Source organism: Homo sapiens, chromosome X, assembly GCF_000001405.40.
Source record: "Homo sapiens chromosome X, GRCh38.p14 Primary Assembly".
Lineage (NCBI taxonomy): Eukaryota > Metazoa > Chordata > Mammalia > Primates > Hominidae > Homo > Homo sapiens.
Window position 1 is genome coordinate 18,092,681 of NC_000023.11, and position 12,958 is coordinate 18,105,638.

Consider the following 12,958-nt stretch of genomic DNA (forward strand, 5'->3'; position numbering starts at 1 on the left):
GTCTTTAGTCTATTTTGAATTGATTTTTGTATATGGTTAGAGATAGGGTCCTAGTTTCATTCTTCTGTATATGAATATCCAGTTTTCCCAGCACTACTTATTGAAGAGACTGTCCTTTCCCCAACATATGTTCTTGGTGCCTTTATTGAAAATCAGTTGGCTGTATATGGGGGATTTATTTCTGGACTCTCTATACTGTTCCATGGGTCTATATCTGTTTTTATACCATGATGTTTTGGTTACTATAGCTTTGTAGTATATTTTGAAGTCAGGCAGTGTGATGCCTCCAGCTTTCTTCTTTTTGCTCAGGGTTGCTTTGGGTAATCAGGGTCTTTTGTGGTTCTATACAAATTTTAAGATGTTTTTTCTATTTCTGTGAAAAACGACCTCAGTATTTTGATAGAGATTACATTGAATCTGTAGATCATTTTGGGCAGTATGATTGTTTTGACGATATTCATTCTTCCAATCCATGAACATGGAGTGTATTTCCATTTTTTGTGTCCTTTTCAATTTCTTTGTGTGAGTGTGTTAGGATGACATTGTGGCTCCAGGGATGTGAAGATGCAGGAGCTATTGGGACCCCAAGCACTCCAGCAGTGACTCCATCCTCAAAATGGCATTGTGCTTACAGCAGCCTGGGTCCTGGGGAGTGGGGTGGGGAGGGGCCCCAGTGTGAATTCCCTTTCTGGAGTAATGCAGCCGCATGGACTCCAGGCAGCCCCTACACTGGGCTCAGGGCCTGTGAGGATTGTGGGGCTCTCCTAAAGCTGGGATTGCAGGTGTATGTGGAGGGAATGTGGACTACTGGAGATCTCCCACTTACTTTTTCCCTGCAATGGGGAGTCCCTCTTGGCTCAGAGCAGATGCTAGCCAGGTGCTTCACTTTCCTCTCTATGCTGCCATCCCAAGTTTCCATGCCTCAGAGGGTCTTTGTCATTTCCTTGTTGAATTCCATTGTTCTCCCCTAGATGCTGTATTCCATATGTGATTATCTACTTGTTCTTTTCGTCCTTCTTTGTGGAAAGGGTGAATGTTGGGCACCCCTACTCAGCCATCTTGATGATGTCTCTCCCAAATCTTTTATGACAGTAGTGGTGGTGGGCTTCCAACTGATTCTAATCAGGTTCCCCTTGCTTTGGAGTAAAGGCTTCCCCTTCACGCCTCATTGTCACCAACAACCACAACCTGCCATTTTGAGGACAAGAGCCCAGGACACTTGGTCAGTGGGTTGCTGGGGGGCATTCACATTTGAGGAATGCTTAGCAATGAGCCCTCTCCACTGAACTCCTGATCCTCAAGATGCAGGATCCTTTTCCTGCTGGCCACTTTGAGGTCTCTGGAACTCTCACTTCCCCCTTTCAACAGAGATACCCCTCTGCTGCCTTCTCTTCCCTCTTACTCTAGATCCCAGGTTTTCAACAGGCTGTACATTGGAATCACTTGAGGAGCATTTAAAAATGCTGATGCCTGGGCCCCACTCCAGATCAACTGAACTGATTGAATTGATCCAAGGTGGGGTTTGGTCATCTGTATTTTAAGAAGCTCTTCAAGTTACTTTCATGAGCAGCCAAAGTAAAGAACCACTGCCCTATAAGAAAATAAGTCACTCTCTAGAGCCAGGTAATAGACTTAGAGTTCCATAAACAGGAAATTGTTGGCAGAGCAGATTTCAAATTCAGATGTCCAGGATCTCTGTGTGCTAAGCAATAAGCTGGTACTTCTCTAAATTTAAAGTGCAAAGGAATAACCATAACCCAAGGTTCCAGTTAAAAATGCAGATTATGATGCACTAGGTCTGGGGTGGGACCTGAGATTTTGCACTACTGACAACCAGATGATGCTGGTGTTGCTGGTCCTCAACCATTCTTTCAGTAGCAAGGTGATATGCTATGTAGCTTTCAGAAATGGAGAAGAAAAACAGTGTGACCAGGAGTGACATTGATGTCATCCCTAGTGCATAATTATCTTTCTAATTTCAGTACCCATGAAGTTTTATTCCCTCCCAGGAATTTGGTACCTTCCGGCACTTTAAGGGTGTAGGACCTTTGATGCAGGTAGGCCAATAACTCGGGCTTTTGTCCATTTGCTTCTGGGCTCCCCTGTAACTTCTGTAGCTTCCTCTAATTGTCTCCGACACTGGGTTTCCTGAACCCAGTGATGGCAAGCAGATTTCTTCCAGATGCAGGCAGTATTTCTTCCTGCCTTTGGCCCTGCTCACGCTAGACTGGGGTTCAGTGAGCCCCACATGCAAGGCTTTTGGCCTATCTTCCTTTACCTTGTTTTCAACGCTGTGTGACCTCCTGTTTTCATGCCTCTGTTTCTACCCAACTCCACCAAGCTCACCCTTCTCCTGGTTTTTCGACCTGGCATCAACCTTGGCACATCAAACCCAGATTCTCTGGTCCTACACCCACCTTGTTTAATAGAATGACTCAATCAGGTTCAGACTTCTGTGCCTTTAAGGCCATCAGAGACCTTTCAGAACCCTGAGCCTTCAAAAGGGAATCCATGTAAACAAAAACTGTCCACCAATATTTACCAACATAACCTTATCAATTCCCTTTCTACTCTCTCTGCTTATGGCAAACGTTGATTCTGGATTTGTCCCAAAAACCTTGTTTCTCACATTCAAAGCTCCTCATTTGTGCTTACCTAGAGTCCGATGACTTAGCTTTGCCTTACTGTCTTTCTAGCATCTCGTGCCTGACCTTAGCCATTTCCTGTTTCCAGGCCCATGACTCCTTTCTCAGTATTGACCATTTGAAGCCCCACTATAAACAAGGCCCACGAAGGGACAACTGCACAGTACCAGCAACTGTCACTCAGCTCTACTGCCTCTCCCTTGCATCTGGCAACGCCACTTCATTTACTTACAGAATCCTGCCAGGTAAAACAAAACTAGTGACCTGTAACCGAGATCAGCACCACCTGATGTTCAGACTTTAATGTGCATAGAAACCACCTGGGGAATTTATTAAAAATGCAGATTCTGAGTCAGTAGGGCAGGTACAGGGTCTGGGACCCTGCATTTTCTAACAAGCTTCCAGAGGACGCCAATGCTGCTCACGGATCTTCCCTTGAGTAGCAAGGTCCAAGAACATACTTTTGTAATGAAATATTCCAGCCAGCCAAAAGTTAATGTTACCAGGAAGGGGTCCCGATCCGGACCCCAAGAGAGGGTTCTTGGATCTCATGCAAGAAAGAATTCAGGATGAGTTCATAGAGTAAAGTGAAAGCAAGTTTATTAGGAAAGTAAAGGAATAAAGAATGGCTACTCCATAGACAGAGCAGCCCTGAGGTCTGCTGGTTGCCCATTTTTATGGTTATTTCTTGATGATATGCTAAACAAGGAGTGGATTATTCATGTCTCCTCTTTTTAGACCATATAGAGTAACTTCCTGTAGCAGTGAGGACGACCAGAGGACACTCTCGTTGTCATCTTGATTTTGGTGGGTTTGAGCCAGCTTCTTTACTGCAACCTGTTTTATCAGCAAGGTCTTTATGACTTGTGTTTTGTGCCAAACTCCTATCTCATCCTGTGACTTAGAATGGCTTAACTGTCTGGGAATGCAGCCCAGTAGGTATCAGCCTCATTTTACCCAGCCCCTATTCAAGAAGGAGTTGCTCTGGTTCAAACCCCTCTGACATTAACATCCTTAAAAATACATTAGACACTCTTTTCAAACATCCCTAGCTGGAAGCAGTTACTATATAAATATATCCTATTTTCCACGGTTTTTCTCTATCATCAAATATAATAGTTCTTTACACTTGCCCTGAAATCTTACAGTAAGGTCATATATCTCCTTAGGATGGCCCTGAGTCCATCTCTCTGAACCACAGGTGGCCTAGACCTCTCCCTGGCTGTTCAGGCCCAACAAATGGGTTTTCTTGACACTCCCTTGGGCTGTGGCCATAGCAATAAGGGTCTGCATTCCAATAGCCTAGGCCCTTGTGACTGCTATTTCCTAACCAGAAATTCCCCGGCAGCCTATTCTTTTGGGAAAAGGGTCTATGCACCTGTATTAGTCAGCACAGGCTGCCATAACAAAATACTATAGACCATATGGCTTAAACAACAGACATTAATTTTCTCACAGTTCTGGAGAGTAGAAATCCATGATTAAAGTGCCAGCAAATTCAGTTTCTGATGAGAGCTCTCTTCCTGTCTTATAGACGACCGCCTTCTTGTGCGCTCACATGGCCTTTCCTCTGTGCATAGAGGAAAGTGGAGAGAGAGCTCTGGTGTCTCTTCCTTTTCTTATAAGGACACCAGTCGTAATGGCCCCACCCTTATGACCTTGTTTAACTTCCATCACCTCCTCAAAAGCACTATCTCCAAATGCAGTCACATTCGGGGTTAGGGCATCAGCCTATGGATTTAGAGAGGGAGGGAACACAACTTGGTCCATAACAGCCTTCTTCTGCACGAATTGAGGCACTACCCAAGTGACTAACCCCTAATTGAGGGGCCAGACTCAGGCTCAGCTTCCTTCTACAGCCGGCTGGGCATGGGTAGTCAGAATCAGGGGTGAAGCTCCAGGAAGGGCCAGGACCAGCTTTAAGCTTCAGATCTGGCAACTCAGAAACAAGTGAAAAAGGCCCCGAAAAAGGACTGCAAACAGCTTTTGATTTGTCTTTATCTACAAGTGAGTGATGGGTATACTGGGTGGGAGAAAAGAGCCAGAGGCAGAACAGACACTCACTGACCCTCGACTTCCCTATCTTTTTTTTTTTTAAATAGGCATTGTCTCACTCTGTCACCCAGGCTGGAGTGCAGTGATGCGATCTTAGACCGCAGCCACAAACTCCCCCTCTCAAGCAATTCTCCCACCTCAGCCTCCTAAGGGGCTTGGATTACAGGCATGAGCCACTGCACCCAGCCAACTTTTCTAACTTATTCATAGATTTTGTGTGAACTCAAATGTGCATTCAGCGCCCCCATAAGAATCTATTCCTGTGGCAAATTGCTACTGGCATAAACTTTAGAATTAAAAATAATCTGTTTCTACTGGAATATTTTTAAGGAGCCAAATCCACAGCAACTATTTATAAACTACTTTTGACTAGAGACTGAAAGAGAACATTTAAAGGTAATCCCGCAGCAATCATAAACACAGAATCCACTTACATATATATGTTAAAAGTAATGTTTACTTAGTAACCTCTCATTTTTACTACCATGTCTGAAAGAAAGAACTTGGAATTAAAGCACAGCCAACTCATTTTAAGCTTTTGAGACACAAATCCCCCGCAATTACAAGACATCAGTGAACACTAGATGGTGACATAAAGAACTGAACTTACAAATGAACTAAACCATTGGCAGATCTAGCACTGAAAAGGTGGGAAAACCAATTCTGAAAGTTCTGAAATGAAAATTAGAAAATAAAAACAAAACACAAAAGGATGAAGACAATCCCGGATCAGGCTCCTCTTAGCAGTTTACTTGAGGTTAATAAATATCATACTGGATCCCAAGTTAGCAACAATTTGAAGTGGAGAAAATGGAGCTTTCAGAAAATTAACACTTAAAACACCAAATCACCCCAAATGCCCAAAGTAAAATAAAAAGCTAGAATTACAAAATAGCTTGATCTGGAAACATCAGCTTAACAAAGAGATTTAGGTAGCAACTGACTGGAGTTTGAGACTTAGCCTGGCCACACAGACGACTTTTATAAACATGTTTACATTTTCCCACATTGCACCATTCTGTGAATTTCTGTCAAACTTTAAGGCCCTGGGGAAAAGAGGGGCAAAACTTCCCCCTTCCCCTGATTCAATGCTAGTGAAAGACCCCAGCACAGAGCCAAGCACCAGCTCTTGCTGAATTGCCCCCCTCACCTCCTCCCCAATATAGCACCTTTCAGATCTCCAGAGGCCAAAAATTTGGGGTCTCTGCTATTGGAAAACTCACTTCAGAAACCCATCAGAAGAAAAACAACTATAATGAAAATACAGCTTCTTTATCCTTGCTGGTTTTCAACTTTTACAAGAGTTTGTTTATAGTGGGGTATAAATTAGCCCAAGAAATTGAAATCAGATATAGCTCGGGCCTCTAAATGCAACCCAAGTGGGTGGTGATCTAGGAAGGCCCCCTCTGCCTTGTCAGAGTTCGTGGTTGCAGGGGGTAGGGGGCGGGCCGCTGTTCATTGCCGGGACAGCAGCAGCCTCCCGCCCTCCTCCCTGGTGCCTCCCCATTGCTGCTGGCATTCCCACACTGTTCCCGCGGCCACCAGCCTGGATGAAAGCATGCAGGCTGCCCGGGAACTCTGACAGCAACTCCCGCGGCGTCCACTGCCAACCCTCCTGCCCCCAGTCCACTTTCAGCTGCTGAAATCGGAACGACTCTTTGGAATTGCTAATGCCAAACTTTTCACTTCACAGAGAGACGGAGTTCAGAGTCTGCCACAGGCAAAATTGCCAAGTACACACAATTTGTCTCTTTGGAACCCCTCTCCCTCTTTTCTAGATAACATTTGCTTTTTAATAGCTACTTCCGAGGCTGCGGCCCCTCCCTGACCTCCTCTCACCCCAGAAGAAGGCTACCTCCTCAGCCTCCATGTGGGGCCAGCCCTGGAGAACTGAGGGTTGATTGCTGCGAACGCCTTGCTTTATATTCTGCAGGGAAGCCCCGCTGAGAGAAAATCTATTTCATGTACTTTCTCAAATGGGCAGCAGCTCTCTGAAATGAAATCCTCCTGCATGATCAACTGAAGCCCCAGAATGCGAAAGCAAAATAAATTTGGCTAGATAGAATGGATGCAAGCTATTTGATCAATCCCAGAAGCTCTTCCAAGAGATACCAGCGAAAGTTAACAGGTAACAAATTACCGCTGCAACTTCTCATCTTAACAGGGTGGTGGAGAAGCAAAGAAGCCCAAGCAAGCCTATTTAGGAATGAGGAAATCTTTAAACCCTTTAACTGAAGCTTACTGTATCTATTTCAACCCTTGAAGCTGAGGATGTTAAACTTGTTCCTTTTTCTTTCCTCCAGTATTGTTGAGGGTCTTCTATTTGCCAGGTACTATGCTGGTTCTGGGAATGAAGTTACCAACAAGTTAGACTAGGTCTAACACTAGTGCCTGCCTACATGTAGGTCACAGTCATGCAGAAAAGACAAGCAAGAGAGCTAAGCCTAAAGCGAAATAATACAGGGTGCCAGTGTCAGAGGCGTTTGAACCAGAGCAACTCCGTCTTGATTAGGGTCTGGGTAAAATGAGGCTGAGACCTGCTGGGCTGCATTCCCAAGAGGTTAGGCATTCTTAGTCACAAGATGACATAGGAAGTCAGCACAAGATACAGGTCACAAAGATCCTGCTGATAAAACAGGATGCCATAAAGAAGAGGAATATAAATCATTCTACCATAAAGACAGGAACGTGGATGGAGCTGGAGGCTATTATCCTTAGCAAACTAACGCAGAAACAGAAAAGCAAATACTGCATGTTCTCACGTACAAGTGAGAGCTAAATGATGAGAACACATGGACACAAAGAAGGGAACAACACACACTGGGGTCTACTTGAGGGTGGAAGGTGGGAGGAGGGAGAGGAGCAGAAACAATAACTACTGGGTTAATACCTGGGTGATGAAATAATCTGTACAACAAACCCCCGTGATATGAGTTTACCTATCTAACAAACCTACATGTGTACCCCCAAACCTAAAATAAAAGTTAAAAATTTAAATTTTAATTTTAAAAATAGTTATTTTTGTTTTGAGATGGAGTCTTGCTTTATTGCCCAGGCTAGAGTGCAGTGGTGCGATCCCTGCTCACTGCAACCTCCACCTCCCTGGTTCAAGTGATTCTCCTGCCTCAGCTTCCTGAGTAGCTGGTACTACAGGCACGCGCCACTACACCTGGCTAATTTTTGTATTTTTAGTAGAGATGGGGTTTCACCATGTTGGCCAGGCTGGTCTCAAACTCCTGACCTCAGGTGATCCACCCGCCTCAGCCTCCCAAAGTGCTGGGATTACAGGCTTGAGCCTGTAATTTTTAAATGAAATAAAATAAAATTATCTCAGTTAAATAAAACAGGAAGAAGAAAGAAGAAGAAGAAGAGGAAGAGGAAGAGGAAGAAGAGGAAGAGGAAGAAGAAGATGAAGAAGAAGAAGAAAGAAGAAGAAGAAGAAGAAGAAGAAGAAGAAGAAGAAGAAGAAGAAGAAGAAGAAGAAGAAGAAGACGACGACAGCTAAAACCCACCAAAACCAAGATGGTGACAAAAGTGAGGTCTGGTGGTCCTCACTGCTCATTATACTCTAATTAAAAGGCATTAGCGTGCTAAAACACCCTCCCACCAGTGCCATGACAGTTTTGAAATGCTATGGCAACATCCAGAAATTACCGTAAATGGTTTAAAAGGTGGAGAAACCCTCAGTTCCAGGAATTCCCTGTTCCTTTCCCAGAAAACTCATGAATAATCTACCCCTTGTTTAGCATATAATCAAGAAATAACCGTAAGTATACTAAGTCAAGCAGCCCATACCACTGCTCTGCCTATGAAGTAGCCATTCTTTTGTCTCTTTACTTCTCTAATAACCTTGCTTACACCTTACTCTATGGACTCGCCCCGAATTCTTTCTTGCGCAAGATCCAGGAACCCTCTCTTAGGGTCTGAATCAGGACCCCTTTCCAGTAACACCAGGAGTCCCAACCCAGAATCATAAACTCTTGAGGTGGGCCCAGCATCTGTTTTAACAAGCCCTTTGGGGATGCTGATGCATGTTCAAGTTTGAGAACCACTGCTCTAGGCAGAAGAGTTGACGGCTTTCCAATCTCTGAGTCCCTTAGTTTCTTATCATGGTGACATGGGTTTTACACACGTGATTTCATTGTATAGCCCCAGGGGATAATAATACCCTGCAAGACAGATGTATTGCTAGCTGCTGAAATGAATAAGCCTAAGTTTTCAGTAGCTTAACACAATAGAAATGTATTTCTAGCTCATAGAGCCTAACGCAGGAGTCTGCGTTAAATGGACTCTGCTTCACACAGTTATTCAGAGACACAAGCTGATGAAAGCTTTTTCATCTTCCTCATTAGGCTTCCAAAGTCACCCGGGAGTTAGTATGGAGCCAAAAGATGGGAGAAGAGAGCATAAAGAATACACACCTACTTCATAGGTACTTTAGCCCAGCAGTGATCACTTCCAGCCACATATGATGAGTGAGAACCAGTCTCATTTGGGCCCTACCTAGAGGCAAATGATACTAAGAAATGTACTGCCTGCCTGGAAAAGTTGCTCCCTAGCCACAACTGTATACTACAGAAGGGGGTGTAAATTTTTGACAAACAGCTGTCATTTCCACCACAGTTTTGCAGACAAGCAAAGGGATTACAGTTTTGCAGATGAATAAAGTTTTAGCCAGATTAAATAATTCTCTGCAAGTCACACAGCTTGTTAAAGCTGGAGTGGGAAGTCAAACCACGGTCTGTCTAACTCCAAAGCCTTGCTCTTTAAAATACCTCATCATGCCCATAGTCACCCCGTGTGGTAGAATAAATAATCCCCCCATCCACCACCCCCACCAAAGATGCCCATGTCCTACTCCGGAGAACCTATAAATATGTTACCATATATGGCAAAGAGACTTTGCAGACGTGATTAAGTTAAGGATGTTGAGATAATCCTGGATTCTTTGGGTGGGCCCAACGTAGTCACAAGGGTAGACATAAGAGGGAGCAACAGAATTAAGGTCAGAGAGAAAAAGGATACGTGACAATGGAACCAGAGGGTGGAGTTGTGTTTTAAAGATGGAGGAACGACCACAAGCCAAGAGATGTGAGTGTCTTCTAGAAGCTGAAAAAGGCAAGGCAATAGATTCTCCCCCCGAAGACTCCAGAAGGAACACATTCCTGCCAACACCATGATTTTAGACTTTTGACCACCAGAACTGTAATAGAATGAATTTATGTTGTTTTAAGCCACTAAGTTTGTGGTAATTTGTTACAGCAACAACAGGAAACTAATAACCCTTACAGTACCATGTTTTTCGTTGAGTAACTTGGTAACAGAGTCCATTTGGCAGGACCCTAAGATCTCTCCTCTCCATTTTTCCTTAGTCCCATCCAACAAGAAGTCCTACTCTCATCTGTGTCTTCCCAGCACACCCCAGGGATAGAGCTGACCAGGGAAATGATGTGCCCTCATACTCTCAGAACTTCACACAGAGCCAAGATGTCAACCAAGCATCACTTTCAAAGTACCGAAAAAAAAATAATTAACATTTGAAAGTTCTACATATTGATAATTTTTATTTTATTTTATTTTTTTGAGACAGGGCCTCCCTCTGTCATTCTGGCTGGGGTACAATGGCACGATCAGGGCTCACTGCAACCTCGACCTCCTGGACTCAGGTATTCCTCCCGCCTCAGCCTCCAGAGTAGCTGAGACCACAGGTGTGTGCCACCACACCTAGCTAATATTTTTTTTTTTTGTAGAGACAGGGTTTCACCATGTTGCCCAGGGTGCATTCATGATTTTTTAGAGTGCTCAGAAAACTAGGAACAGAGGAAAATGTCCTCAATTTGATAAAGAGTTACAGCTAAAATCATACTTGACGGTGAAGGACTGAATGCTTTTCCTCTAAGATTAGGAACAAAGAAGGGATGTTCACTCTTACCACATAATGCTGTGCTGAAAAGCACAATAAAGCAAGAAAAGGAAATAGGATATAGACAGATTGACAAGAAAAAGAAAAACAATCCCTATTTGCAGATGGCATAATTGTCTAAATAGAAAATCCTAAAGAATCTACTCCTAAAAATTCCAGAACTAATAAGTTAATTCAACAAGGTCACAGATGCAACATAAACATATAAAGATAATCACATTCATATATACTAACAATAAGCATATAAAAACTAAAATTTTGAAGCACAATAACTTTACACTTACTCTAAAGAAAATGAAACACTTCAGTATAATCTTTTTCTAAATATGTATAGCATTTGTATCCTGTAAATTACAAAATGCTACTAAGAGAAATCAAAGACCTAAATAAATGGAGAGACAAACCATGATCATGCACTAAAAGATTCAACATAGTAAAGATGTCAATTCTCCCCAAATTGAAAAGTATAGGTTCAATGCAATGACTATCAAAATTCCAGTAAGGATTTTTATAGTACAGACAAAGTTATTCTAAAATTTATATGAAAAACCAAAGGACCTAGAATAGCTAAAAGAAACAATTTTAAAAAAGAGTAAAATGGGAGGAATCACTCTACAGATATTATGACATTCTATACAGCTACAGTAACCAAGACAGTGTAATAGTAACAGAGGGATAAACACATAGATCTATGAAACAGAATAGAGAATATAGAAATACACACACACAAATATGCCCAATTGATTTTTTAACAAATATGCAAAAGTAATTCAATAGGAAAAACAGCCTTTCCAACACATGGTATTGGAACAATTAAACATCCATATGCAGAAAAAAATAAATCTCAACCTAGTTCTACACTTGATCTTAGCCAAAAGGCCAAGAAAAAAAAAATCCCCTCAACCGAATTCTCACATCTTAGAGAAAATTAATTAGAAATGTATCATGCACCTAAATGTGAAACATTTTTTTAAAAAATCTTTGGGATCGAGAGGAGCCAAGATGGCCGAATAGGAACAGCTCCCGTCTACAGCTCCCAGCGTGAGCGACGCAGAAGACAGGTGATTTCTGCATTTCCACCTGAGGTACCGGGTACATCTCACTTGGGAGTGCCAGACAGTGGGTGCAGGTCAGTGGGTGCACGCACCGTGCGCGAGCCGAAGCAGGGCGAGGCATTGCCTCACTTGGGAAGCGCAAGGGGTCAGGGAGTTCCCTTTCCTAGTCAAAGAAAGGGGTGACAGACGCACCTGGAAAATCGGGTCACTCCCACCCGAATACTGCGCTTTTCTGACGGGCTTGAAAAATGGCGCACCACGAGATTATATCCCACACCTGGCTCGGAGGGTCCTACTCCCACGGAGTCTCGCTGATTGCTAGCACAGCAGTCTGAGATCAAACTGCAAGGCGGCAGCGAGGCTGGGGGAGGGGCGCCCGCCATTGCCCAGGCTTGCTTAGGTAAACAAAGCAGCCGGGAAGCTCCAACTGGGTGGAGCCCACCACAGCTCAAGGAGGCCTGCCTGCCTCTGTAGGCTCCACCTCTGGGGGCAGGGCACAGACAAACAAAAAGACAGCAGTAACCTCTGCAGACTTAAATGTCCCTGTCTGACAGCTTTAAAGAGAGCAGTGTGGAAGTCAGTGTGGCGATTCCTCAGGGATCTAGAACTAGAAATACCATTTGACCCAGCCATCCCATTACTGGGTATATACCCAAAGGACTATAAATCATGCTGCTATAAAGACACATGCACACGTATGTTTATTGCGGCATTATTCACAATAGCAAAGACTTGGAACCAACCCAAATGTCCAACAATGATAGACTGGATTAAGAAAATGTGGCACATATACACCATGGAATACTATGCAGCCATAAAAAATGATGAGTTCATGTCTTTTGTAGGGACATGGATGAAATTGGAAATCATCATTCTCAGTAAACTATCACAAGAACAAAAAACCAAACACCGCATATTCTCACTCATAGGTGGGAATTGAACAATGAGATCACATGGACACAGGAAGGGGAATATCAAACTCTGGGGACTGTGGTGGGGTGGGGGGAGTGGGGAGGGATAGCATTGGGAGATATACCTAATGCTAGATGACGAGTTGGTGGGTGCAGCGCACCAGCATGGCACATCTATACATATGTAACTAACCTGCACAATGGGCACATGTACCCTAAAACTTAAAGTATAATAATTAAAAAAAAAAAAAAGAGAGCAGTGGTTCTCCCAGCACACAGCTGGAGATCTGAGAACGGGCAGACTGCCTCCTCAAGTGGGTCCCTGACCCCCGAGCAGCCTAACTGGGAGGCACCCCCCAGCAAGGGCAC

The 12,958-nt window shown here is 43.6% G+C and overlaps 1 long non-coding RNA gene across 1 annotated transcript in view; it reads right to left on the minus strand.

Annotated features, from left to right (window-relative positions):
* LINC01456 (long intergenic non-protein coding RNA 1456) overlaps positions 1-11,964 on the minus strand; it is a 134,472-nt gene extending 122,508 nt beyond the window's left edge. Inside the window, exon 1 of the long non-coding RNA NR_133641.1 lies at positions 11,871-11,964. This is a non-coding gene — a long non-coding RNA (long intergenic non-protein coding RNA 1456). The remainder of the gene's footprint in view (positions 1-11,870) is intronic.
* Between the last annotated feature and the right edge of the window lie 994 nt (positions 11,965-12,958).